The 27,851-nt window shown below is 42.6% G+C and overlaps 1 protein-coding gene across 7 annotated transcripts in view; it reads right to left on the bottom strand.

The window, feature by feature from the left end:
* The window catches only part of FMN2 (formin 2), a 383,305-nt gene that overhangs the window by 341,141 nt on the left and 14,313 nt on the right, over window positions 1-27,851 (bottom strand). For all 7 annotated transcript variants that reach the window (NM_001305424.2, NM_020066.5, NM_001348094.2 and 4 more), the window contains exon 2: window positions 10,702-10,868. In NM_001305424.2, the coding sequence (NP_001292353.1) occupies window positions 10,702-10,868 (167 nt within the window). The remainder of the gene's footprint in view (window positions 1-10,701; window positions 10,869-27,851) is intronic.

Genomic DNA, 27,851 nt, shown 5'->3' with positions numbered 1-27,851 from the left:
AGAGATTATTAGACATGAAAAATTTTAATGTGACCTTGGGTAAATGTTTTCACCTCTTAAGTGGGTGGAGAAGATGGGATTAGAATCCAGTCTAGGACTAGAGACCACTCCTAACTACTCTGGGGAGATCTGTCAGGTAAACACAAGGACACAGCATTACATTGTTCAAGGAACCTTCACACAATATTTAATTTGCATTCAGGTGTTACAGGGTAAATAGGCAATTATAATATGTGTAATATATCCTTTGAGAGAGAAAATGCAGACTGAGATGGCTAAAGAAGATGTCTGGGAAGGAATGGCATCTAACTCTGAATAGCATCCTATGAGAAAGAGTGGAGGCTAACTGGGAAATAATAGTGGGGAGCAGAAGTAGAGGTGCCCACAGAGCCCCACAAGTGAGAGAAGACATGGACAATTAGGAAAATCAATAACACTTCAGCGTGGCAAAAGAGTTTGGAAAGGAAAGTGGGTCAGGAGAGGTAGAAGTGGGAAAGTATTGAAAGGCAGAAGGAAGACCATGGAGATCCAAAGAAGCTGGAGTTTATTCTGATAGAGAAACAATTAAAATGACATGGCCAGGTGCGGTGTTTCATGCCTGTAATCCCGTCACTTTGGGAGGCCAAGGCAGTAGGCTCACTTGAGCCCAGGAGATCAAGACCAGCCTTGGCCACATAAGGAGACCCCACCTCTATTAAAAAAATTTTTTTTAATTAGCTGGTCATGGTGGCATTTGCATTTAGTCCCAGCTATTTGGGAGGCTGAGGTGAGAGGAACGGTTGAGCCCAGGAGGTTAAGGCAGGCAGTGAGCTGTGATCACCCAACTGCACACCAGCCTGGATGACAGAGCAAGATGCTGTCTCAAAAAATAAAATAAAACAACATGATCAGACATATATCACTAGATTTCTCAACCTTGGCACTACTGACATTTTGCACATTTTGTAATTCTTTGTTAGGGGAAAGAAGGAGATGTCCTGTGCATTTAGAATGCTTGGCAGTGCCCCAGTCTCTACCCACTAGAAGCTAGTTGCACCCCTCTCCCTACTGTGAGAACCCCAAATGTCTTTGGACATTGTCAAATGTCCTCTGCAGGGCAACATAACCCTGGAATGAGAACCACTAGACAAGGCTGAGGAGACTGGACTGGAAACCAGTAACAGGCAAACCCAAGAAGGTAATGAAAAGGCCAATGTGATCATCCAAGCCAAACGATGACTGAACCTGAAAGGTGATTTTTCCAATCCTCCCTCATACCGCGACCCTCTAATCTAGCCCTCCATGATCATCTAGAGAGTATTCCACGTCCATCCTGAGCGTAACCCACTCCACTTCCAAAGCCCGTATCACCCAGGGGTATCAGCATCTACCCCTCCTCATCACAGACCCTGACAAACCTCCTTGGTATAGCCTTCACATGTCAAGGACTTTACCACATGGTCCTCTCTCTGCTTCTCAAGGTTGACTCTTCTACATTCTATGGGACATTAAGTCCCAGCCAACACCCTGAGCTTCTCAATTCTAATCACAACGAGCCTACCTCTCCACCATGGACTGGTCTTTGGAATGAGTAGAACACCTCCACCTCTGAAGTCTTAAACACCAATATCCTTCCCTCTGGCCACAACCACCAATGAATTCATTCTCTCTATATTCTCACTACATCTAATTATTCTCCACTGTCCTTAAGAACTTTAATCTTTTGATTGGTCAACTTTCTCTTAATTTACGAGATTTATTTGCTCATGATTTTACCATACAACCTATGGTCTATGCCAGCAATATCAGTTCCCTTGCCCTTGAGGTATAGCCTCCATAAAGTCCCAAATAATCACAAATTCTAGATGTCAAAAGAGAATGATCATTCTCTCTGAAATCTGTTCCGTCTTTAGTATTCTAACTCTTTAGTACAGTATCCCAGAAATGTGAACCAGAAACTCAAAGAAATCATCTACTCCACTTCCTCACATCCAATCAAATGGCAAGTCCTGTCGGTTCTAAATCCTAAAGATTCCCTATAGCTGGCTCTTTCCAATCCCACTGCCTCTGTTTCAGTTCAGACACTCTTCTGATCACTCAGATGCTAATTTTAGTTTTCTTCAATCCATTCTCCAATCTGCCACCACAGTGATATTTTACAAATGCCAATCTGTTTATGGCTTAACTACTCAAAATTATTCAAAAGCACCCCCAGGTTGTCTTTGTTTACATCCCTGGTCTCCTTTCTACGCATCATTCTCCCAATTTATACTCCGGAAATACTTAGAAACTGTGCTCACATGCACCCCTGTGCCTTTCTATGTGCTGCCCAGTATACAGACTTTTTTTTTTTCTTTTTGAGACAGAGTCTCGCTCTGCTGCCCAGGCTGGAGTGCAATAGTGCGATCTTGGCTCACTGCAACCTCCGCCTCCTGGGTTCAAGCGATTCTCATGCCTCAGTCTCCTGAGTAGCTGGGATTACAGCCATGTGTCAAGACACCTGGCTAATTTTGTATTTTTAGTAGAGGCGGGGGTTTCACCATGTTGGTCAGGCTAGTCTCGAACTCCTGACCTCAGGTGATCTGCCCACCTCAGCCTCCCAAAGTGCTGGGATTACAGGCGTGTGAGCCACCGCACCCGACCTATAGACTTCTTTCATGGCTGTTCCCCACAGCAAACTCCTACGCATGCCTCAGGTCTTGCCCCAGGTGTTATCTCCTGAGTTATCAAGGAGACCCAGTTAAAAACCTTCCCCTTTGCTCCTTGTACTATAAATATCTCCACTTGGAGCCTAAACACGATTGTGACCCATGGTAACAGGCAAAGGGCATTGAACACTTACTATATGCCTGTAGTGTGCAAAATGCTTTATTCGTATCCATACTTTCCTCTCACTCAGAAACTACTATATTTATTCCTCATTTTACCCAAGAAGAAATAAACTTTCAGAAATCCAGCCATTTACCTAAGCTTGCAGCATAGTTGAGAAATCCTGGACACTTTGACTGTGGAGCCCACTTCAACCACTAAGCTCCAATAATTTACTTCCATGTGTTTATTTCTTTAAAGTGAATCGTAAGCCAGTTCAGGATAGAACCTTTCTTTTCATCTTTGTGTTCCTAATAACAGGGCAGGGGCTTGGGGGACAGGTGTTGTAAGGGAAAGAGGGAGCTGAGAAGTACAAGCGGAAGTCATAATTAAATACGAAGAACCTGACCTAAATTAGAAGAGAAAGAATTTAAGAATTCCATGAAATGGCAAGAATGAGCTGAAAAATAAAAAATATTGAGAATACAGGGGGAAAAGCTATGTTTCTTCACCCAAAAAAGAAAATAAGAGGCAGTCGAAAACTTTGTTGTGCTGGATGGGAGTTCCCTGTATAAGAAAAGGATAAGCCAAATGTAAACTAAACTAAATATGGGATACTTTTGAGCAAGTGATTGTTTACTAAAAACACAGAATTCAGCTGGGCGTGGTGGCTCACGCCTGTAATCCCAGCATTTTGGAAGGCTGAGGCAGGTGGATCTCTTGAGGTCACGAGTAAGAGACCAGCCTGGCCAACACAGTGAAACCCTGTTTCTACTAAAAATACAAAAAATTAGCCGGGCGTGGTAGCATCCACCTGTAATCCCAGCTACTCAGTAGGGTGAGGCAGGAGAATAGCCTGAAACCAGGAGGCAAAGTTTGCAGTGAGCTGAGATTATGCCATTGCCCTCCAGCCTGGGTGACTGAGTGAGACTCTGTCTCAAAATAAATAAATAAATAAATAAAACCACAAAATTCTTTTGAACTTGACCCAGGAAAATCCTTGTTTGAGTGGCCTGGGGGTTGTGATATTGGAATACTGAAAAGGAAGCAAAATCAGAATATATCTGCCTCTGCAGTGCAATATTCACACAGCATCCATATGTCTTTCAACTTATAGATAAACTATTAACCTTAAAAGTATGCCCTAAACATAAAAGTGTATCTGGTAGAAGCTGGGAGGTAAACAGGGCTCAGACTAAATGAAGGCAAAAGTAGAGACACTAATAGTGTAACTATTACACGGTGAGTGGGGTGGCAAGAGATACGATCTGAATTTGATGAAACAATATCAAAAAATCATAAGCATATTATTTAAAATTCAAAGAAGTATTATGAAAGAAAACTCAAAATAGCAATATTAATTATATTAGAAGGAAGAAGGAGAGACAAGGAAGGAGTATAAAGGAGCTAAATCCTCATGCATGACCGCCAGAAGGCAAGAGCAATGTCAATAATGGTGGCTGGGCGTGATGGCTCATGCCTGTAATTCCAGCACTTTGGGAGGCTGAGGGGGTGGATCACTTGAGGTCAGGAGTTCGAGACCAGCTTGGGCAACATGGCCAAACCCCATCTCTACTAAAAATACAAAAATTAGCTGGCCATGGTGGTATGTGCCTATAGTCCCAGCTACTCAGGAGGCTGAGGCAGGAGAATCGCATGAACCTGGGAGGCGGAGGTTGCAGTGAGTTGAGATCACGCCACTGTACTCCAGCCTGGGTGACAGAGACTCCATCTCAAAAAAAAAAAAAAAAAAAGGCATCAGCAGGCATTAACATACAGCAAGTCCACATAGCTTATATAAATTTTGGTAAACAAAATCATCAGCTAAAATAATTGTTAAAGTTGGTCTGAAAAAATTAAGTATCATCTTAATACCATCTTTAAAATAAAAACAACTTTGAAAGTTGATACTGTACACAACGTTTCAAAAATAAATATACAGCAAAAAATATATACGTATATCTATATTCTCTTAGAGCTGAAAGATGTGGCAAGGCTTTTGTTGCTTCTCAGGAAAAGATCTGTGTGGGCTTGACTAAATAGCATTAAAATGTTTTTCCTGCTCTGGAAAAAAAAATGAATTCAAGGCTGGGCTAGGTGGCTCACACCTATAATCCCAGCACTTTGGGAGGCCAAAGCAGGTGGATCACCTGAGGTCAGGAGTTCAAGACCAGGGTGGCCAACATGGTAAAACCTCGTCACTACTAAAAATACAAAAATTAGCTCGGCGTCGTGGTGCCTGCCTATAATCCCAGCTACTTAGGAGGCTGAGGCAGGTGAATCCCTTGAACCCAAGAGGCGGAGGTTGCAGTAAGCCAAGATCGCGCCACTGCACTCCATCCTGGGCAGCATAATGAGATTCTGTCTCAAAAAAGAAAAAAAAATGAATTCAAATGCACATAATAATTTCTGTTTGTCCACTTAAGTCTTCTTTTTGTCTACGGTAACAATGAGTAGAGCATATTTCATTAGTTTTCCGGGACTGGCTGCTGTTGGTTTTGATTAACAGCTTCATCTTTCAACAGGTTCAAGATCTTATTTCTTGGGTTTCTTTTTAACCTGAATTGTTATGTCTTCCTTGTCTTTAATTTTAGCTTCGCTCACATATTCATCCAAACCGATGTCCATTTACATACATATCAAGGAGCTCTTGCCCATCTGGTGAGCAAGGGATCACCACATGTTTAGCAAAATCAGCAGATCTGCCAAACCCAAACAAGTCCAGCAACCAAAAACATGCATCCAAAAATATCCTGCTAGGCAGACATTTAAAGATAAGCTCATGAAGGATTAAGTAGATTTAGAATCACCTACCCCTGCAAAAATGGTTGGGTCAAGTAAACTTGCTTAACTCTTGGTGATGTAAGTAGATCATATAATATATGCCACAGTTAGGATTAAAGAAATCCTAGAAGAGCTTGTTAATGAATAATCAACAATTATGTAAGATAAGTGTGGTTGGCTGGAAAATATGCATATGACCCAAAAAAAGGGATCTCATTTGGAAAAAGGCATGAGAGAAATGACTAGAGTAGGTTCCAAATACACAAAGAAGCCTAGCTTCAGACCACTGAAATATACCATGATCTACAAGTCAACAATATAATCTGCCAAGTAGCAAGCATTAGTATGATCCCTGTTTTCTCTTGCTAGCAGTTCTATCCTTATATCCTCCTCCCAAAATGCAGCTGTCTTCTCTACCTCAGTGAATGGCACAACCATCTACCCAGCTGCTTCAAACCAAGAAGTCATCCTTGATTTCCTTGTGTTCTCTTGTCGCCATGTCTGCCCCACCAGAAGTCCCATCAGCCATACCTCCAGAATCCACCCCAACCTACTAACTGGTCTTCATCTCCCCTGTCACCGTCCTGCCCCAACCTACAGCCACCATCTAGAACTAAACTACTGCCATATCCCACCTGCCTTCCTGCTTCTACTTCTGTGCCTGCCTACACTCAATCATTCAAAGAGCAGGCTGGGGGCCGGGCATGGTGGCTTATGTCTATAATCCCAGCATTTTGGGAGGCCAAGGCAGGAGGACTGCTTGACCCCAGGAGTTCAAGACCAACTTGGGACATCACAGTGAGACCCTGTCTATAACAACAACTTAAAAAATTAGCTGGGCATGGTGGCTCATGCCTATAGTTCCAGCTACTTGGAAGGGTGAGGTGGAAGGATCGCTTGAGCCCAGGAGATCGAGACTGCGGTGAGCCATGATTGTGCTACTGCTCTCCAACCTGGGCAACAGAGCAAGACCCTGTCTCAAAAACAACCACCACCACAACAAGCAAACCAAGACCAGGCCAGGTGATCCACATGAAATATAAGACAAATATGTTCTTCCCCTGCATAAAACCTCCCAAAAGCTCCCATTTAAAAAAAAAAAAAAGCCAGGTATGGTGGCTCATGCCTGTAATCCTAGCACTTTGAGAGGCCGACGTGGCAGATCACTGGAGGTCAGGAGTTCAAGACCAGCCTGGCCAACATGGCGAAACCCTGTCTCTATTAAAAATACAAAAATTAGCTAGAAATTGCTTGAACCCAGGAGGCGGAGGATGCAGTGAGCCAAGATCATGCCTCTGATCTTGCTCCAGCCTAGGCAATAGAGCGAGACTCCGTTTCAAAAAAAAAAAAAAAAGCCATATTCCTTCCACGGCTTTCCAGACCCTGCCTGTGCTGTGGCCTGAGCCCTTGCTGTCCTCATCTCCTGAAGCCCCAGCTTCCTCTGAGTCATGTCTGTGCTCCTCCAAGGCCCTTTGGACTTGCCCTGGGAGCTGCCTGGAATGGCCTTCCCACAGACCTCATCTCACAGGCTCCCCTCTGCGCTCATCCTACCCCCACGCCATTCACTCCATCCTGTTGGTCCTGTGTTCCTTCATATCACTTATTAGAATCTGAGAGCAATTAATTAGCCTATGCATTCTGAAAAAAAATCTGTCTCTCTCCATTTTGAATAGGAAACACATTTCAACAGAACACATTCTCTTGCTCACTAACACATCTCCAGAGCCTAAAACACTGCCTGGCTTCTAGAATGAATATATTTGGTAAAAATCTGTGAATGAATTAACAGCATCCCTCAAAGCCATCTTTGTCTTTTAAAGTTCTTGACATCTTAATCATATTAAAATGTAAGAGAAAATGTGAAGTCTTTTCATACTTTCTATAACACTCGATAAAGCAAAATGTTAGGCCCTAAAATTGTATAAAATAACATAAAACAAAATCAGAAGGGTTGAGTCAAGTAGGCTAATACATAAACTACATCAGTGAAGAGCCCCAAACTGAAGATCTTTATTGCTGTAATTGCATACATAAGTGCAAAGATGAGAACGGAGAGGATAAGGAGGTGGGGGAGAGGAACCCATCAGGGAAGGGAACAAAGTGGGGGGGGGTAGGTAGGAAGGGTACCAGTTATGACATTATTCCCACAGCATGTTCTGTCTCGAAGGGCAACTGACCTCAAGAGGATTGTTAGTTAGAAATGTCCCCAACAGCCATTTTCTGGAAATCAGCAGAGATACTAATTATCGAAAATTTCTCTCCCCATAGATAAGCACATTCTTCCTCATCCCTCATTGACACCCCAGTCCTCAGAACCCCCTGTATCATTATATCGTCGCCCTCTCCAGTTTTCAAGAAACTCCTTGACTGCGCATCCAATGAACGCATAGTTCTGTTACTGAGCTGCTATTTAAGTATAGGGCATAACATTTCATACAAGAGTATCTTTAATTTTCTTCTTTGTTTTATGTTCACTTTGATGGGGGAGTAGAGAGGTCGTACAGAGCCAATGAATAAAGGAAGACAAAATGCAATCACATCAAGTTGAAGGAAAGAAATTCCCAATTCTGAGGAAATGCCTTCACACAACATTAAGGGATTTTATACCTTTGTTGTTTGTTTTTCACGCTCGATGCCACACCCAGCTGCCCTCCAAAATAAGATGATGGGGAAGAGTTACTAGTCTCTAACACAAGGATGGAGTGAGGTGAGTATAAGAAACAACCAGGTTAGTTGATTTTAAAAAAGAGAGAGAGAAAGAAATAGGATTACCCTATTCTTTTCTGTTTATCCAATTCTACATTTATCGACTGGCAAGACTGTTCACTTCTGGGCTTTAAAGGAGGAAAATGCCGTTAACTTGGGAACAGTTTGAATCAAAAAGCAAGTGCTAGACATGGCTAGTGTTTGCCTTTGCCTGCACTATACTAATTATAGTTCCAACTTGCCAAATCAATATATCTTCTAGAACTGAGCTCTATAACATTTAACACACCATCATTCTAGCGTTCTGCCTCTACAATAACACAGACCTGTCATACAAGAGAAGGGAGGAAAACATTTAAGTTATATATTTTTTCCCATAAGAGAAAGAGATCTACCTAGCAGCGATTAGCTGCAATGTCATTTTAAAAAATTGCAGCAGGAAAAATGTAAACAAATCTCAGGAAGGAAACTTCACAAGTCACAGCACAACATGGGGAATTTTCTTTCAAATGGGAAGCATCAAGAATCAAGAAGCTCTCTGAATATTTTATGTGATTTATTTTCTTAATACTAAAGGAAGATTGAGGAAGACTGCAGGCTGTAATGGGTAAAGAAGAGGAAGCAAAGTGAACAGGCAGATATAGACACTTTATTATTTATTATCGTATCTTGACCTCAGCTGGGGCTTTGTCATTGTCTTTAAAGCTCATCATTATTTTATTCCTATATATTGAAGAAGGCTGATAAGAGAGCACTGTTGGCAGCAACAAAACAAAGTAACTAACCCATATGATGAAAAACCACGGCCAGGCGCAGTGGCTCACGCCTGTAATCCCAGCACTTTGGGAGGCCGGGGCGGGTGGATCACGAGGTCAGGAGTTCAAGAACAGCCTGAACAACATGGTGAAACCCCGTCTCTACTAAAAATACAAAAATTAGCCAGGCATAGTGGTGCGCACCTGTAATCCCAGTTACTCAAGAGGCTGAGGCAGGAGAATCGCTTGAACTCGGGAGGTGGAGGTTGCAGTGTGTCAAGATAGTGCCACTGCACTCCAGCCTGGGGAACAGAGTGAGACTACGTCTCAAAAAAAAAAGAAAAATCATTATCCTCAACTAAAAATCCTGGGCTCTGCACAAGTGAGCCAACCTTCAATTTTGTTATGAGAATTTCATCCACGAGAATTCTTACACATCTGGGTTTTAGAGGCGTACTCATCCCAACCAATGCCACACACATACCACATACCTGAGAACGACTGGCAATACTCTGCCTTGACAATGAGAATCCAGCTGTGTTCATATTCATTATGAATTGTGAATATGCCTGGTGAATTACTGTTGTACAGTATTAACTCTCTTGGTGAATGGGAGCTGGGGATGAAGCAGACAATGCTGCTTCACGTCCGTACTTCACACAAACATGAGTTAGGAACGCACAAAATAGCATCGTAGGGCCCATGGAAACCTCCGGCCCACTGGGAAGAATAACTGTGCCCCGTGGAGCTGCTTCTGAAGGAATGCCTACGACCAGCCAAGTCATACATATGGACTTACAGCCACTTTAGAATCATCGCTGATTACAGGGTCTTGAAGAGGTATTTGTACCTCATGTTCATAGCGGCATTATTCACTCATTATGAACCCATATTCATAGCAGCATTACAGCAAAAGGTGGAAACAACCCACATGTCCATTGATGGATGAACGTATAAACAAAATGCAACATATACATACAATGGAATATGATTCAGCCTTAAAAGGGAAGGACATTCTGACACATGCTCCAACATGGATGAATCTCAAGGACATCATGCTAAGTGAAATAAGTCAGCCACAAACAGGACAAATACTGTATAATTCCACTTATATGAGCTACCTAGCATAGTCAGATTCATAGAGACAGAAAGAGAATGGTTGTTGCCAGGGGCTTGGGGAAAGAGGAGGATGGGGAGTTATTGTTTAATGGGTACAGGGTTTATTTTGGATGATAAAAAAGAGTTCTAAAGATGGATGGTGGTGGTGGATGCACAACCACGTCAATGTATTTGATGCCACTAAACGGTACATTTAAAAATGGTTACAGAGGTAAATTTTATGTTGTCTGTATTTTACCACAATTAAAAATAATTTAGAAATCAATTTTTAAAATCATCGTTGATTAAAGCAGGCTAGAGAACTCTTGAGTGACCATCTGTCAAGAAAAGGAGGTTTGGCAAATGTACTTAATACGCTAGTTTTTTTTCTTTCTTTTTTTTTTTTTTTTTGTGTACAAACAGACATACCGAGCTGTTGAGCAGCTAAGGAAAAAAAATGCTTGAATCACATGTTGTTTTTAAATTATAGGGTGACTGGGCAGATACACATCGTAGCTGCTATTTCCACAGCAAATCTGCCTCACGGACAGAAGTGAATTCTCCTACTTACATCAAACGAAGCTGCATTCGTCTGGGCATTCTGATTACACGGTTCCCTGAAGCAATCACTAAAAGGAAGGAGAAGACCCATGGCAATGATCCGGGAGCAAAACTTCTCTGCTTCTTCTGGAGGCCCGTTCTCCTGCTGGCTGAACAGCTTCTCCAACAGCGTTCGCCCTGCAGATGAAACACAGTCATTAAGAGCGAGCACTGCCGATCACCTGGCTCTGAACTCGCCAGGGGACAGCGGCTGGGTAAACACTGCCAGGGAACAACACCGTTTCCAAGGCTACTGACAGCGCAGAAAGGAGCCTCTCAAGCTAGGAGAAAGCTCTGTAGTCTGAGGCCAGAGTTACCACATAAAAAACTGCAGAACTGGTTTGCTCTCTCATCCCCCTAAATACCTCCTGCCTCAAAAGACAACAGGCGAAGTTATGGGCTATACAGCTTCCATCTAAGATTTTTAATTCAGATAGGGTCTTGCTATGTTGCCCAGGCTGGCCTTGAACTCTTGGGCTCAAGCAATCCCCCCACCTAAGCCTCCTGAGTGGCTAGATTTATAGGTGTGAGCCACCACGCCCAGCTCAGATTTTTTTTCTTTAATAGACATGAGGTCTCACTACGTTGCTGAAGCTTACCTCAAACTCCTGGGCTTAAGCCATCCTCCTGCCTCAGCCTCCCAAGTAGCTAGAGCTACTGGCACACACCACCTCACTCAGCTCCCTTTTGGATTTAATTGGTAAATCCAATTTTGGATTTAAATTTGGATCCAAGGCCAGACATGGTGGCTCACACCTGTAATCCCAGCACTTTGGGAGGCTGAGGCAGGTGGATCACCTGAGGTCAGGAGTTCAAGACCAGCCTGGCCAACATGGCAAAACCCCGTCTCTATTAAAAATACAAAAAATAGCCAGGCGTGGTGGCGGGCTCCTTAATCCCAGTTACTTGGGAGGCTGAGGCAAGAGAATTGCTTGAACCTGGGTGGCGGAGCTTGAAGCTGGGTGGCGGAGGTTGCAGTGAGCCGAGATCGCACCACTGCACTCTAGCCTGGGAGACAAGAGCGAAACTCCATCTCAAATAAATAAATAAATAAATAAATAAATAACCAGCCGTGGTGGTGGGTGCCTATAATCCCAGCTACTCAGGAGGCTGAGACAGGAGAATCGCTTGAACCCAGGAGGCAGAGGTTGCAGTGAGCCGCGATCACGCCATTGCACTCCGGCCTGGGCAACAAGAGTGTTGCCTGTCTCAAAAAATAATTCATAAATAAATAAATAAATTAATTAATTAATTTTGGATCCAAAAGGCTAAACCGCTTGAATTTAATTGCAGATGGTTCTCGAAGGAAGCAGTTCGTAACGCATCATGCCGCCATTTAGACTCAGAAATATCAGTGACTGACATTCACAGTGTCCATCATGGCGGGGACAGAGAATGAAGAGACGAAGAGGCAGGCAAAGGCACCAACCCACAAGAAGAGAGCTGGCCAGCAAAATAAAAATAAGTCACCCAGAAAAGGGATAAAAATTCACATTTCTCTCAGATGCTCCTCAGAAATATAACTCTAGCATAGGTCTGAACTTAAGGACTTTTTTTTTTTTTTTTTTTTTTTTTTTTTTTACTATTTCCCTAAAAAAAGGCAAGAGAGGCATAATAAGAAGACACTGGGCCAGGCGCGGTGGCTCACCCCTGTAATCCCAGCACTTTGGGAGGCCGAGGCTGGCGGATCACGAGGTCAGGAGATCAAGACCATCCTGGTTAACACGGTGAAACCCCGTCTCTACTAAAAATACAAAAAACAAAACAAAAAAAATTAGCCAGGCTTGGTGGCCAGCGCCTGTAGTCCCAGCTACTTGGGAGGCTGAGGCAAGAGAATCACTTGAACCCGGGAGACGGAGCTTGCAGTGAGCCGAGATCGCGCCACTGCACTCCAGCCTAGCGACAGAGCAAGACTCCGTCTCAAAAAAAAAAAAATAAAAATAAAAAAAATAAGACACTGGCTGAGGATCCTAGAGGGCCTGGGTCCACCTAGCCCAGGGGTTCTCAATCTTGGCTGAAACTGAGGATCACCTGGGGAGAACAGAATTGCTGGAAGCCGGGCTCAGGCATCAGTTTTCTACTGGTTGTCAGTTGGTTCTAATGTTAGCGAGAGTGCAGAGTCATAGCTATAGGCCTTAATTTTTTCTGACACATTTTTTTTTTTTTGAGATAGACTTTCGCTGTCACCCGCGCAGTGGCGCGGTCTCGGCTCACTGCAACCTCCGCCTCCCGGGTTCAAGCGATTCTCCTGCCTCAGCCTCCCAAGTAGCTGGGACTACAGGCATGCACCACTATGTCCAGCTAATTTTTTTTGTAGCTTTAGTAGAAATGGGGTTTCACCATATTGGTCAGACTGGTCTTGAACTCCTGACCTCAAATGATCTGCCTACCTCAGCCTCCCGAAGTGCTGGGATTACGGGCGTAAAACACCGTGCCTGGCCTAGCTCTTTAACTTTCAAACATTTATGTAGCTTGTTTTGCATTCACAAACTTTCATCAGAGGAAATGGAAAATCTCTAGGGTCCCTTCCAGGGCCACAATTTCTCCTCCTTCTAATTAGCAGATTCTTTCTTCAAATTTAGATCAACTGTTATCCAGAAAAGTCTTCAGTAATCCCCTTCCATGCTCTTTTGGAACCCTTCATAGTTTCTTTGTGTAATTAATTATTTTATCTAATTAGTTATGCAATCATTTGTTTAAAGTTGACCTTCCTCACTGACATATAAACTTGCTGATGGCCAGCATCTACCTTGCAAACTTGGTCACTTGCACATAAAAAGCATCAATAAATATTTTCAGGATTTCTGAATAAATACAATGCTATGATTCTGTGATAGATTCATTCATATCATAGTCAGAACTGGAAATGATTTATCAGTCTATACCATCAAACTTTTTATGTAAAGGGCCAAATAGTAAGTATCTTAGGCTTTATGAGCCACACGTAAGGTCTCTGTCGCATATTTTTCACTGGTTTAATTTTGTTTTGAGCAACTTTGAACATGTAAAAACCATTCTTAGCTCCAGGCTTTGCAAAACCAGGCCAAGTCTATACTTCAGTTACAATAACTACATTTCAAATGTCTAAATGTTCCATTCTACCAGGATACTAGTCATGCAGTTGTTATGCCTCTTTGTATTTCTGTCTATAAAACAAAACTAATCTCAAAAGCTGCCTTTGATATTTCGAGTGACAAAGCAGGACACAAGAGATCTCTCTATTTTCTCCATTTCTTCTGGTCATTAGAGAACATTCTTTGGTCTCCCAGGATTTTTTGGAGGGGAAATAACAAATTTTTCCCCTACAGAACTTCAGTTTGCCTGCATCTAACTGGAACTAAATATCTAGGAAATGGCATCCCTCAATTCTCAAGTGATTAATTATCATAACAGTAGATTGTTGTATTCATGTTACCGAATTACTGAAAATAGCCCTAAGACTAATTCTTTCCTACCGCTCAGATAATGTATATGACAAAAAATAAGGTCAGCAGGATCTTGCATGTGTGTGACTGAAGGTAAATGTGTACGTGCACATCCAGCCAAAAATTATCAAAGGAGTTCCAGAACAGTGTGGAGGAGAGAAAATGATGACCTGCTGGAACTCTACTTCCATGAAAGCATATGCCCCGAAATCCTTAATCAAGGGTCTCTGTACCACAACCCTATCATCACCCTGGGCCTGGTATTTCCGTGTTTAGCGGTAGTGGGGGAAATTATCCTGTGCTTTTAGCAGCATCCTTGGCCATTACTACTGGATGGCGGTGGCACAGCCACCTCGCCCCCAGCTGTAACAGCCCAAAATGTCTCCAGACATTGCCAAGTGTCTCCTGGGGCAGGGGGCAAAAATAACCCCAGGCTGAGAACCCCAGGCCTAACCTCTCTCTAAAGAAACTTCACCTCCTTCTTTAGTGATAACTAGGCTTTCCCTTGAGGATATCCTCGCCCTGCAATCGTCTCAGGTGGAGGCACTTTTTTTTTTTTTTTTGAGATGGAGTCTCGCCCTGTCGCCTAGGCTGGAGTGCAATGGCATGATCTTGGCTCACTGCAACCTCCGCCTCCCAGGTTCAAGCAATTCTCCTGCCTCAGCCTCCTGAGTAGCCGGGATTACAGGCATGCGCCACCACACCCGGCTAATTTTTTGTATCTTTAGTAGAGAGGAGATTTCACCATGTTGGCCAGGCTGGTCTCGAACTCCTGACCTCGTGATCCGCCCACCTCAGCCTCCCAAAGTGCTGGGACTCCAGGTGTGAGCCACCACGCCCGGCCAGGTGGAGGCATTTTAAGTCAAATCCTTCACATCTGAGGCAAAAAACGTGGGTAACATCCTTGTTCCCCATGAACACTTCCAGATGATTTATTCTCCTTCAAAACCATGAGCTTTTCTGAAAATTCCTGCCACTGGCTAGACCCTACTATCCCTCCTCCTTTCTGCCATCCACTAACCTCTAGTTATTCCCTCCCTTCGTCATTCACTAAATAACTCACCTCCTGCCTCACTGCCCCACGTTCCACCTCTGCTCCTATCATTCTTAGTGATTTGGACATCCACATGGAGAGCAAACCATTGCTCAGGAGGATACCTCGCCCGAGACCTTGATCCCCTTGCCTCCAGCTAACATTTTCTCCACCACAAAACAGCCACCCATTCCCATCTCACAGCCTCATATTGGTCACTATCAGGAACCGTACAACCTCCAGAAGATCAATTCCAAAGTTTACTCCAAACTCTCCAGTGGGTTCCCATCACCCTCAGAGTAAAATCAAATCCCTCACTGTGCAGTCCTGATAGGTAAGTTAGCAACAACGAGGAAGGGGGGTCCCAGGTGGGGGAGAACAATTGTTCTGAGTGACTGCTAACCACAAACAACCTGCTTGCACACTATCCTGTTCCCAGACACCTCACTCTGCATGCAGCCCCAGCAGCGTCATTTTATTTGCACAGTGGCCCCACAAGCAGGACCCTATCAAACTTTCCCCCAGCCCCTGTCTCTTGGCAGACAGCCCCTTCTCTGCTGTGCTACCCGTTGCCCTTTGCAACGTACTTACTCTCTAATAAACTTGCATTCTTCACCTCACTACTGTTTCAGTAAATTATTTTATAACCCAAGGCAACAGCCCCAATCAGTCACAACCCCCGCAACACTCACCAGATGCAAGAGCCACCTCCCTACCTCCCACCTCTCACCACTCTTGCCTACTGGCCTTCTCCTCCTCAAACACACTGAGCTCACTCTCACCATGAAGACTTTTGCACTAGAACACTCTTCTTCTGCATACATCAATGACTCCCTCACTCCTTCATCTCATTCAGGTCTCTGGTCAGTGGTCACTTTCACTGAGAGAACTTCCTAATACCCTTTCTGAAGGAGCACACCCCATTACTCTTGTTCCCATTATCCACTTTATTCTTCAGAGAGCTTAGCCCTTGAATTTATGTAAGTCTGTGATCTGTCTCCTACTCCTGGAGCGTAAACTCCATTTCAGCAGTCCCTGCTGTGTGTTTACCACCTTCTACTCAGGACCTCAAGGAGTGGCTGGCAAAGACGGGATAATCAATTAATTTTTCGATCATCAATGAATCTATGTACAAATGCCTGAATGCAGCATCTAACTCCTGAGAACTACCTTCTACTTTTAGGCTCTTACTCTAGAACCCCTTCTACTGCTCCATCCAGCATGCTGACCTTGAATCAGTTGTCCCTACTACTGTTGCACAATCCATCACTCGTGCTGTGTCACTTCCTTCCGCAGCGGCTTAAATTCCATGTTCTATCACTATAATTACATACTTCAAACACTTCAGCTTTCTTATCCCTCTCTCCCTCCACCACGCTTGTCAGGTGAAACCACGACCTGTTTCGGCGCAGCCATCCACTTTCTCTTTGCCTGCACCTGAACAACTGAACATTGTAAAAGAAAGCCACACAGGTGTTGTCTGTCTTGACTTTCAGTGCACAGCTATATACCTCAAGGAGGCCAACACTGCTGTGGGTTCTCATGTAAGCTTCCACTCCAATACAATGTTTAAACAATCTTCTCCCCACCTGACCCGTTCTTCCCAATGATGAGATGATATTGTCAAATGATTTACTGAGACAATGGAAGAATCTGAGACAAATTCCAAATATGCAAAAATGCTCACACTTGTCTTCCTCACAATGGAAAGAGGCCCTGTGACAAACAAGAGCAAGTTCTTTCCCTTGTGTTCTGAGCTGAATTCCTTATTGCGTGCCAAGATCTCACTTCTTTGGCTATCCCTTCTCTCCTGAAACACAAACACCTCCCTCTTTGCTGGACATTCCCAGTATCACACAAACATGCTTTAAAAAAAAAACCGAAAGAACAAATCCTCCCTTGAGCCACATCACTCTCCGCTCCCAGCTACGATTCCATTTCTTGGCTTCCCTTCACATCAAAACTACTAACCGGAATTAACTACGTTTGCTACCTCTCCCTCCTTGCTCAGTCTGCTCTAATTTGATTTCCATGCCCATGATGTGCCAGAAGCTGCTGGGCAGCATGGTATCAATAACTTTTTGTTTCCATTTTTTTTTTTTAAAGATAAGGTCTCCCTCTGTCACCCAGGCCGGAATGCAGTGGCCCTATCATAACTCACTGCAGCCTCAGACTTCTGGACAAAAGCAATCCTCCTGCTTCAACCTCCCAAAGTGCTGGGACTACATGGGTGAGCCACCACACCCAGCCAACATTTCTGTCTTCATCCTACTTAGTTTATCTTTCAGAAAAATTTCACTGTTGATTTACTCCTACTCCTTAAAGCATTTTACTCTCAGCTCATGATATTCCCTTCCCCTATTTTCTCTAACTCGCTAGCCATTTTCTCCCAAGTCCCTTTTAATGGCTTCTCTACCCAACACGGCAATGTCGGAGTGCTTCCTGGCTCACCCCACAGCTTATTCTCTCAACTCTTTCTATATTCTCTCCCATAATCTCGCCCAGTCTCTAAATACCCCATTCTTTGAAACCGGGCAGACCTTTGTGAACGCACTAACAGAGTATGGAAGAAGGGGCCCCATACCTGGACGGAATGCATGGGGCAGTTGGGGCAGCTACGTGAAGCCTCTGAAGACAGAGCGGAGCTCCACAAGACTGCTTTCCTGAGATACAGGTCACAAAGACCCACTGATAACACAGAATGTGAAAAAGAAGCTAGCCAAAACCCACCAAAACCAAGATGGTGATGAAAGCGACCTCTGGTTGTCCTCACTGCTCATTATATGCCAAAGATAATCATTAGCATACTAAAGGAATCGTTAGCATGGACCCGCCAGCGCCAGGACAGTTTACAAATACAATGGCAACCTCAGGAAGTTGCCCTGTATGTTCTTTAAGGGGGAGGGGCCCTCAATTCTGGGAATCTCCTGTCATTTTCCAAAAAAACTCACGAGTAATCCACCCCTTGTTTAGCATATGATCAAGAAATAGCCATAAAAATAGCCAGTCAGAAGCCCTCAGGGCTGCTCCGCCTATGGGGTAGCCACCCTTTTATTCTTTTACTTTCTTAATAAACTTGCTTTCCCTTTGCTCTGTGGTTCCCTCTTGAATTGCTTCCTGAGGGAAGCCAAGAACCCATGTTTTCTCCCAGGCAGAACCCCAGTTTTGGGGTTGGCTCTGTGACAAGACTGTATTGTAATAGCAGGAGGACTGGGGAAAAAGATGAGAATTCAAAGAACCACCAAACCAGCAGGTTTACCAGTTTTGTTCCTCCAGTGTCCCTCAACCTGAACTCAAGGTATCCCAAAACCCAGAAGTGGGCATCAGCACCGACAAGGAAAGCTTTAAGGGGCAATTTGGCAATGTGTGTCAGTGATCTTTAAAAATTCACCCCTTTGACCCAGAAATTCAACTTTATAAAAGCTATTCTAGGTAAATATTCAGAGGTATCCTCAGAGTGATGCATCATGGGAGTATTATGATGACTAAATGAGATAATGCATGTCAAGTATTTATCACAGTTCCTGGTACTATAACAAATAGATTATTAATAGTACCAAAATTCAAAGGAACTAAAATGTCCAACAATACAGACATAAATAAAAAAAGATAGCTTTATACACATGACTGCTAACTATACAGCCATTAAAAGCCATGCTATTACAGAAAGAATAATCACTTAATTGATTTAAACATATTAAATATATTTAAAGAAACCAGAAAAATAAAACATCAGCTATCACTGAAGAATGCTAGGGCACTGATAACAGAATAGGAAATAATGAGGCATTTATGCTGCCTTTCTAGAAAGAACTGTATTTCAGGGTAACAACCATACCTAGTGAATAAAGTCTTCAATACAGAAAAATTCCAGCCAAAATGTGCAAAAGGAATGATAGAATTGGCCGGGCGCGGTGGCTCACGCCTGTAATCCCAGCACTTTGGGAGGCCGAGGTGGGCAGATCACAAGGTCAAGAGATCGAGACCATCCTGGCCAACATGGTGAAACCCCATCTCTACTAAAAATACAAAAATTAGCTGGGCATGGTGGAGCATGCCTGTAGTTCCAGCTGCTCTGGAAGTTGAGGCAGGAGAATCACCTGAACTTGGGAAGCGGAGGTTGCAGTGAGCTGAAATCTCGCCATTGCACTCCAGTCTGGCGACAGAGTGTGAGACTCTGTCTCAAAAAAAAAAAAAAAAAAGAAATGATATAATTAGAAAATCACCATTTTGCAATCCCTAATGAAATAATGGGTTCACTTAAAGAACAGCAAGTGGATGGAAAATCCATTAGAGAAAAGGTCAATTGAAACTCTTGCAAAGAAAGGATCAAGCTGTCAGCCCCAAACCCAGGGATCATTCACAGCTTCAGGACAACTGAGAAAGCCAGACATGGTGGGCCCCTGCTGGGGGTGATCATAAAGTACACAGCATCCCCCATCGAGCTTTCCTGCTGTCCCCCAGCCTCTGGAACAAAAGAAAGGAGAACTCAGCATGAACCAATTCAACTGTCAGATTGCACCTAGCATCCATTCTAGAGTATCAGAGAGTTCTGAGGATGGACTAGTTACCAGGTAATATTGAACAACTTACTCTATTTGCTTTCAATATAAAGAATGACATTGTAGCATACTTTAAAAGTCCATTTTTGAGATACATATTTGATATTAAAATAACATGATGTCTGGAGCTTGTTTTAAATTATTTCACAAAAAAGTAGGTGGCATGGGGTAGAAGTGGAAAAAAAGGGTTGATAAAACTATTATGGCATTGAAAATATTGATGATTACTGAAGCTGAGTAATGGATTCATGGGAATTCATTGTAATTCTCTGAGTGTGTATATTCCACTTTCACAATAAAATATCTTAAATCACACTATTAAAAACATTTACTTACACAGAAATATGTGACACAAAAATCATGTGAAAATTCAAGATCACAAAACTAAACAAAGCATGTTCCTGATTTTGCAAAACCAAGAGATACGAACACAGTTTATTAAAGAGTCAAAATCGCTGTGGTGGGAAGGCAAACAGTTTTTGTTATTTCCAGGACACACACTCCAGCTGGACTATACTGAACTCCTTTTCTGTTCAAGGAATGTAATTTGACCAACCAGGTCAGGGGGAGTGGACAGAGACATGAACTTTTATTTCTCTTCCTGCATTTGATAATTGAGAATTTAATCAGGAGACACTCACCTACTAAATAGGATTAGGATGCCTTGAATCTAAACTAGGGAGAATGGACTGCCCTGAAGCCTTAAACACAACCTTATTTTTTTTTTTTTTTTTTTTTTGAGACGGAGTCTTGCTCTGTCCCCCAGGCTGGAGTGCAGTGTCGTGATCTCGGCTCACTGCGACCTCTGCCTCCCCGGTTCAAGCGATTCTCCTGCCTCCCGAGTAGCTGGGACCATAGGCGTGTGCCACTATGCCTGGCCAATTTTTGTATTTTTAGTAGAGATGGGGTTTCACCATGTTAGCCAGGATGGTCTCGATCTCCTGACCTCAGGCAATCCGCCCACCTCGGCCTCCCAAAGTGCTGGGATTACAGGTGCGCACCACCGTGCCCGGCCACAATCTTACTTCTTAACTGTGCAAACTGGCTGGCTGGGGCCAGGAACCAGAGGCTTCCCGGTTCCCTCTGACACGGGCTTTCACACCCCATGACCACAGTATCCCCCAGTCAAGGTATCCCCCAGTCCCCTCACTCTACTCCTTGGTCAAATCACTGTTCCTAGACAGACATGTCAACCACACCAATAAATGAAAATCATTGGCCCTAGAGTAATTTTAACTTTTTCAAGTGTCCAGCTATTCAAGCCTGCATTTTACTTCATATTTGCTTACGTTTATTTATTCAACCATATTTCCTGAGCTCCTACTCTTTGCAAAACAGCACTAAGTCAATTTGCCAAAAATCTATCTGCTGAATGAACAGCTCACAAAACACTGCCTGTGGGCAGCAGCCATTTCACAGCAGGAGCTGGTGCCAGCTAGAAGGTCAGTCCCTAGGGCCCGGACCACAGGGTCAGCCAGGGAGGCCTTCAGAAGCACACACTGTCCCAGGGTCACTTATCAGGAAAACGCAAGTGCAATCCCCATAAAGGAAGAGTTAGGCTCTGACACTGCCTAGAGAACACACCCCCAGCAGGTGCAGCAACACTGCAAGTGGAGAAAATTCTCAAAAGCTGATAAAATCATCTCTATAGCACAGATTGCTATAAACTTTATAAGTATATAAATGCTAGTTTCTGAGAAATTTATAACTCTATAAAGATAAGGGCAGGAGACGGGCAAAGTTTCTTGGGCTCTTTCTGCTCCCTTTCCTCCCTCCACCCAAATAAAAGACTCAGTGGGAGGGGCCATCTTCCTGTCCTTCAAACCCAGCCTCTAATATCATTTTCTGAACTAGAAAATGCAGGCCTGTCCAGATGCAGTGGCTCACGCCTGTAATCCCAGCACTTTGGGAGGCCGAGGCAGGCAGATCATGAGGTCAAGAGATCGAGACCAACCTGGCCAACAGGGTGAAACCCGGTCTCTACTAAAAATACAAAAATTAGCTGGGTGTGGTGGTGCGTGCCTGTAGTCCCAGCTACTCGGGAGGCTGAGGCAGGAGGCGCACTTGAACCCAGGAGGTGGAGGTTGCAGTGAGCCGAGATCACACCACTGCACTCTAGCTGGTGACAGAGTGAGACTCCGTCTCAAAAAAAAAAAAAAAAGAAAATGCAGGCCTAAGGATGTTAGGTGTCTTGTCAAAGGTCACGTTATCTTTATCTAGGAAAGGCCCATGTCATTGATCACACATATTACATATTATATACCTAATTATGCAGAACTGAAGAAATCTAGAATAGTATAACCATGAAGAATTCTCTCATTCTTTTATAGGATGGAAAGTGTTCCTTATTTTCTGCCTATTCCTTTCCCCTGAAAACACGTGGACTCTGTACCTTGACTTCATGAAGTACACCCATGTGGGGAGGCATGGGATTGCAGCCATAGCTTAAGCAACAGAAGCTACTTCCTGGATCTCAATCCCGATGTCAGAGGCGTTTGAACCAGAGTGACTCCATCTTGAATAGAGGCTGGGTAAAATGAGACCGAGACCTACTGGGATGCATTCCCAGGAGGTTAAGAAATTCTTAGTCACAGGATGAGTAGGAGGTCAGCACAAGATACAGGTCATAAAGACCTTGCTGATAAGGCTGATAAGACAGATTGCAGTAAAGAAGCCGGCTAAAACCCACTAAAACCAAGACGGTGACCAGAGTGACCTCTGGTCATCCTCATGTTACACTCCCACCAGTGCCATGACAGTTTACAGATGCCATGGCAACATCAGGGAGTTCCCCTATATGGTCAAAGAAGGGGAGGCATGGATAATTCACCCCTTGTTTAGCATATCATCAAGAAATAACCATAAAAATGGGCAACCAGCAGCCCTCGGGGCTGCTCTGTCTATGGAGTAGCCTTTCTTTATTCCTTTACTTTCTTAATAAAGTTGCTTTCACTTTACTCTAAGGACTTGCCCTGAATTCTTTCTCGTACAAGATCCAAGAACCCTCTCTTAGGGTCTGGATTGGGACCCCTTTCCGATAACACTGATGCCTCCATTATGCTAGGTATGGCCTTAGACAGGTTACATAACCCCTGGTAATCCTGTTTCCTCATCTAGAAATTGGAAATAATCATCCTCATTACCTCCGAGGATTACTGTGAAAATTAAATGAAACAATTTTTGTAACAGGCTTAACAGTACCCAATAAATGTTACCTGTTATTATTATGATCAAGATATACTTCAAATACTCTCTACTTGTAAATGTGATTAAAAATGTTGGTTCAACTTAAAAGAAGGAAATCATAAGTTGGATCTAAAAGCATTTGAAATAGTACGGTAATAGGCAAGGTAATCACAGATTCAAATATCTTCATCCACCAAGTTTTGGGTTTTTTTCCTTAAATTTAGTAGATTTTAACAACAAGGTAATATTTAAGACACTGCTTGCTAGAATTCCTAGCCTCAATTTTTTTTAAAAAAAAGGGCTTGCATATTTGTTTTACTATATTTATTAAATTCACATCAAAAATAATATTCATTAAATGAGAGTCGGGGACTTATTAATCATTAATGTTCTCCAATTATTGCTGTACTAATCCCCTCACGCTCTTCCCACATATTCTTCCACACTGTAGCTAATCAAAAGTGAAGCTTGTAGAATCAGCTTTGCAGTCATACACTAGCTATAAATACTCCTCTTACCTTGAGAAGCAAAACTCACAAGCCTAGATAAACATGGACACCGCAGTTAGGGGGTAAGTTTTTATTCACCATCAGAACAAATGTTGCAATCCTCTTGCACAATGAAGAAGTAAAATCAACTCTCCTTGCACTAGGGTTTTATTGGGCCTGTGACCATTGACACTATAAAAAGTAAAAAGTATTTTATTTGAACAGGGCTATACAATGTAAAAGGCATTTCTGCATCTACTGTCAGCTCTGTGAAGTAGGCAGAGCAGGATTTATCATCACAACTTCAAAGAAACTGAGGAATGAAAAGGTTCTAGAGTCTGCCCGAAGTCATAAGATTAGAAAGTGGCAGTGCCAAAACTGGAGGCACACTCTGCTCTCCTCATTTTTATTCCAGGGATCTTCTACTTCTGACTCAGCCAGCAACTCTGGGAAAAGCTTCTGACCAACTTTCTGCATTCGGATATAAAAGAAACAGACCATGCGGTCTGTGCCCTGCAGGGGCTAACAACCTACTTACAACAACCAAAGCCCAAGAAGGAACATTTTAAAAGCAGTCTGTGTAGAACACACTGCCTTAATTAAACATCCTTAGTGGAACTGGGAGGTTGGGGAGGAGCAAAGATAAGATATAACCAAGCACTTAGGAGTCCGTCATATCCCAAAGAATGTCCTAGGCCTACTAGAGGAAGACAAGCTGAAGAAAACATGCTCCCTGCCCTTAACTAATAATAATAATAGTAATAATAATACAATAAGATGATGTAGCTGGCATACTCTTGTAGAAGAGATGCAGAGTACAGGCTGGTTGCTAACTGCTGACAACATACCGCAGGGAGAGTCAGTGTCTCAGGATGATGTATTTGCTATAATTGATGTGGAACACATCTTTTAATACCCTTCTCAATATTTCTAGTGTCAAGTAATACGAATGCATCAAATGTGCGTCTCAGTTCACCACAGAGAACAGCCAACTTCTTCAAAACAATATTAAAGACACACTGTAGGCACTTTTTCTTGAAGACTGAGAGGATCTTCCTGCAAGAGTATCTAAATGAAGGGTGTACATAGGTTCAGTGAGTTCAACATAGAGCAGGGAGAGTCTCCCATTTTACTGAGACAAGAAAGTGTCCAAACAGGAATAGAAGCTTTGATGACAGACAGTAGGAGATGCTCTTCTCCCAATACCCTTGATGGTGCATGTAACCTTTCTGGTTTTACTCATTCCAAAGACTAATCATTGTCATGAGGACGATCAAGTGACTCAGTGACAATCCACTTCAGTATGTTCATCTTCAGTATGTTAGAGCCAGAAGAAATCTTAGAGATCATTTCGTTCAAACCACTAATTCCACTGTAAAGAAATCAAGGCCCAAATACTTGAGTCATATGTCTAAGGTTATATACATGAGAGGGCTAAGTGTAAGTTTTGTACTGAGTTTTATGTCCTATGATAGCATTCAATTTTAATCATCTGTTTGAAACTTATATTTTAATAGCCTACAAATATGTCACTGATATTTTTTCCTTGTGTGCATGTGGGTTTTTTGGGTTTTTTGGGGTGTTTTTGAGACAGAGTCTCGCTCTGTTGCCCAGGCTGGAGTGCAATGGCAGGATCTCGGCTCACTGCAACCTCCATCTCCTGGGTTCAAGTGATTCTCCTGCCTCAGCCTCCTGAGTAGCTGGGATTACAGGCTCTCGCCACCACGCCAGGCTAATTTTTGTATTGGTAGTAGAGACAGGGTTTCACCATGTTGGCCAGGCTGATCTTGAACTCCTGACCTCAGATGATCCATCTGCCTCGGCCTCCCAAAGTGCTGGGATTACAGGTGTAAGTCACTGCACCAGGCCCCTTCTGTGCATTTTTTAATGGTAGAAGGATGAACAAGACAGTTGCTGTATTTTAAAAGGTGTCAACACAGGTTTCTGTTTCTTCCAGGCCACTATATCTTATGCAAAATGAGAATTAAAACAGATGTCTTGTCACGTTAAATTTTTCTCTGACCTTATAGCTCAGACATAACTATCTAATAAACTTCCCTGATATCCCATGTTATCTATCAATTGAAATATTAGGAGGAAATAAGGATGTTGACAAGCAAATCTATTATAAGACATTAATGATAATTGCTTAAGTTTATGATGTCACTGAATACAGAGATATCACATATTCTGTATCTCACATACTAACGGCTTATACTTGCCAAATAAGAAAAAAAATAAGGAGGGCCATTTATGATCAAATAGAAATTACCATGTCTAGTTTTAGGTCCAAAATGCTGCAGGTTTTATAGTAAAAAGAAGACTGCTACAAGGATAAATATCTAGGGTTGTCTCAAAGAAAGAAAACAAACGTGAAATCCAATAGCTAGACAAACCATTAAGGAAAACAAGTCACAAAACACACAAGGATGATGAACTCCCTGCCCTCATCTGCAAAGATGACCATGGCTAATAAAGGGATTTGGACCAACATAAAGCAGAGTGAAACTCTACTACCCCTGGAGGAATCAAAATTCACTGAATCCAGGTACACCTTTGATTTAGACACTCTTACAGGAAGATCCTCTTAGTCTTCAAGAACAAGTGCCTACAATGTGTCTTCATAATTGTTTTGAAGAAGTTGACTGTTCTCTGTGGTGAACTGAGGTGCACGTTTGATGCATTTATGTTACTTGACACTAGGGATATTGAGAAGGGTATTAAAAGATGTGTTCCACATCAATTATAGCAAAAACATCATACTGAGAGTATTCAAAAAGTGACTTTGTTATAGAGAGTTCTCGGTACTACATGTCTATTAAAATTTATATAAAGTTCAATTTGACTAGCATCAAGGGATTTTTTTTCCTGGGGAAGAGAGAAAAAGACACTATCCAACTTCAATTTACCAAAGGCTGAAAATGACAAAAATAAATAGAGAAATTTAATCTAATAAATCTAATGAAGTTGAAAAAAGAATATCATAGAACACATATGATGATAACTACCAACCACTTTTCAGGACCTATGACAGGTTATGAATTTCCTGGTATTTTTTTAAAAGGTCATGAAATAAATCAAGATTAAAAGGGAAAAACTATAGAAAGACAAAAGAAAAATGTTTTTTTAATTTAATTGTTGTATCTATTAAGTTAAATCCATAAAAGTGACTCTAATAAATGGCAGCTTCTAAAATCACTTGGTTGAAGAGTTTTAAATAAATATTTAAAGCAGTCTCAAATAAAAGGAATGAGTCACACAGACCACAGCTGCTGCTCTTACTTTTCAAGTCATACATCATTGACTCTCCGAGCTGGAAAGAATATCAGTGGTCAAATTCAGCCTCTCCAGGGCTACGACCACCCCATTTGATCTTCACTCAGTCTCTATTTTAACATCTCCAGTGATGATGAAATTGCTCTTCTCAAGACCACGCATGCCAACACTGGACATTCTGTAAGGGATGGCTTCCCTTATGCTGACTTGAATCATACAAACTGCTATCACATCTAGCTCCTTCATCCTGAACACATTCAGTCTTCTGCTTGAATATAAATCTGAGGTTTCAATTGTGTTCCTACAGTCAATGGAAAGCTACTGGAAAATTTGGAGAGTGGCATTAAAAATCCTCCTGGAAAAGGCCGGGCATGGTGGCTCATGCCTGTAAAACCGGCACTTTGGGAGGCTGAGGCGGGCAGATCACCTTAGGTCAGGAGTTAGAGACCAGCCTGGCCAACATGGTGAAACCTCGTCTCTACTAAAAACACAAAAATTAGCTGGGCGTGGTGGTGGGCGCCTGAAATCCTAGCTACTTGGAAGGCTGAGGCAGGAGAATTGCTTGAACCCAGGAGGCGGAGGTTGCAGTGAGCAAGATCGCGCCATTGCACTCCAGCCTAGCAACAAGAGCAAAAACTCTGTCTCAAAAAAAAAGAAAAAAAAATCCTCCTGGAAAGGAGGGGATGAGTATTTAAAAACATATTTTTGGAGGTATATTTTAACAGGATGTAGAGACTAATTAAATATAAGGAGGAGGAAGAGTGGCATAGCTTGGCTAACTTGCACTTCCAAATTTCTGGCTTAAGAAACTGGGTAAAGAGCTTTGTTAGATGGTATTATCTACCAGGAATCCAATAATACATAAGGGAGCAGGTTGGGTTTGGAGAAAAGATGAGTTCAGTTTGAAACTATTCCCGTATCTATATAAAGATGTTTAAAAGACAATATGAAATTGGCACCTGAAATTCACAAGAGAGATCTGAGCTAGAAATATGATTTATCAACATGCAGGGAAATGTTGGATGTTTCATAGACTACTCAGGGTGGATGTTAACACAGACTACATATGAAGCCTGGGGAGAAAGCATCATTTAATTAGGAAGAGTTATAGGTGGAAGAAGATCATATGAAGGTGTCTAAAAGGCATCCCA

Source organism: Homo sapiens, chromosome 1, assembly GCF_000001405.40.
Source record: "Homo sapiens chromosome 1, GRCh38.p14 Primary Assembly".
Taxonomy (NCBI): domain Eukaryota; kingdom Metazoa; phylum Chordata; class Mammalia; order Primates; family Hominidae; genus Homo; species Homo sapiens.
The sequence above is the reverse complement of the archived record's forward strand: the minus strand, read 5'-3'. Positions and strand labels throughout refer to the sequence as shown.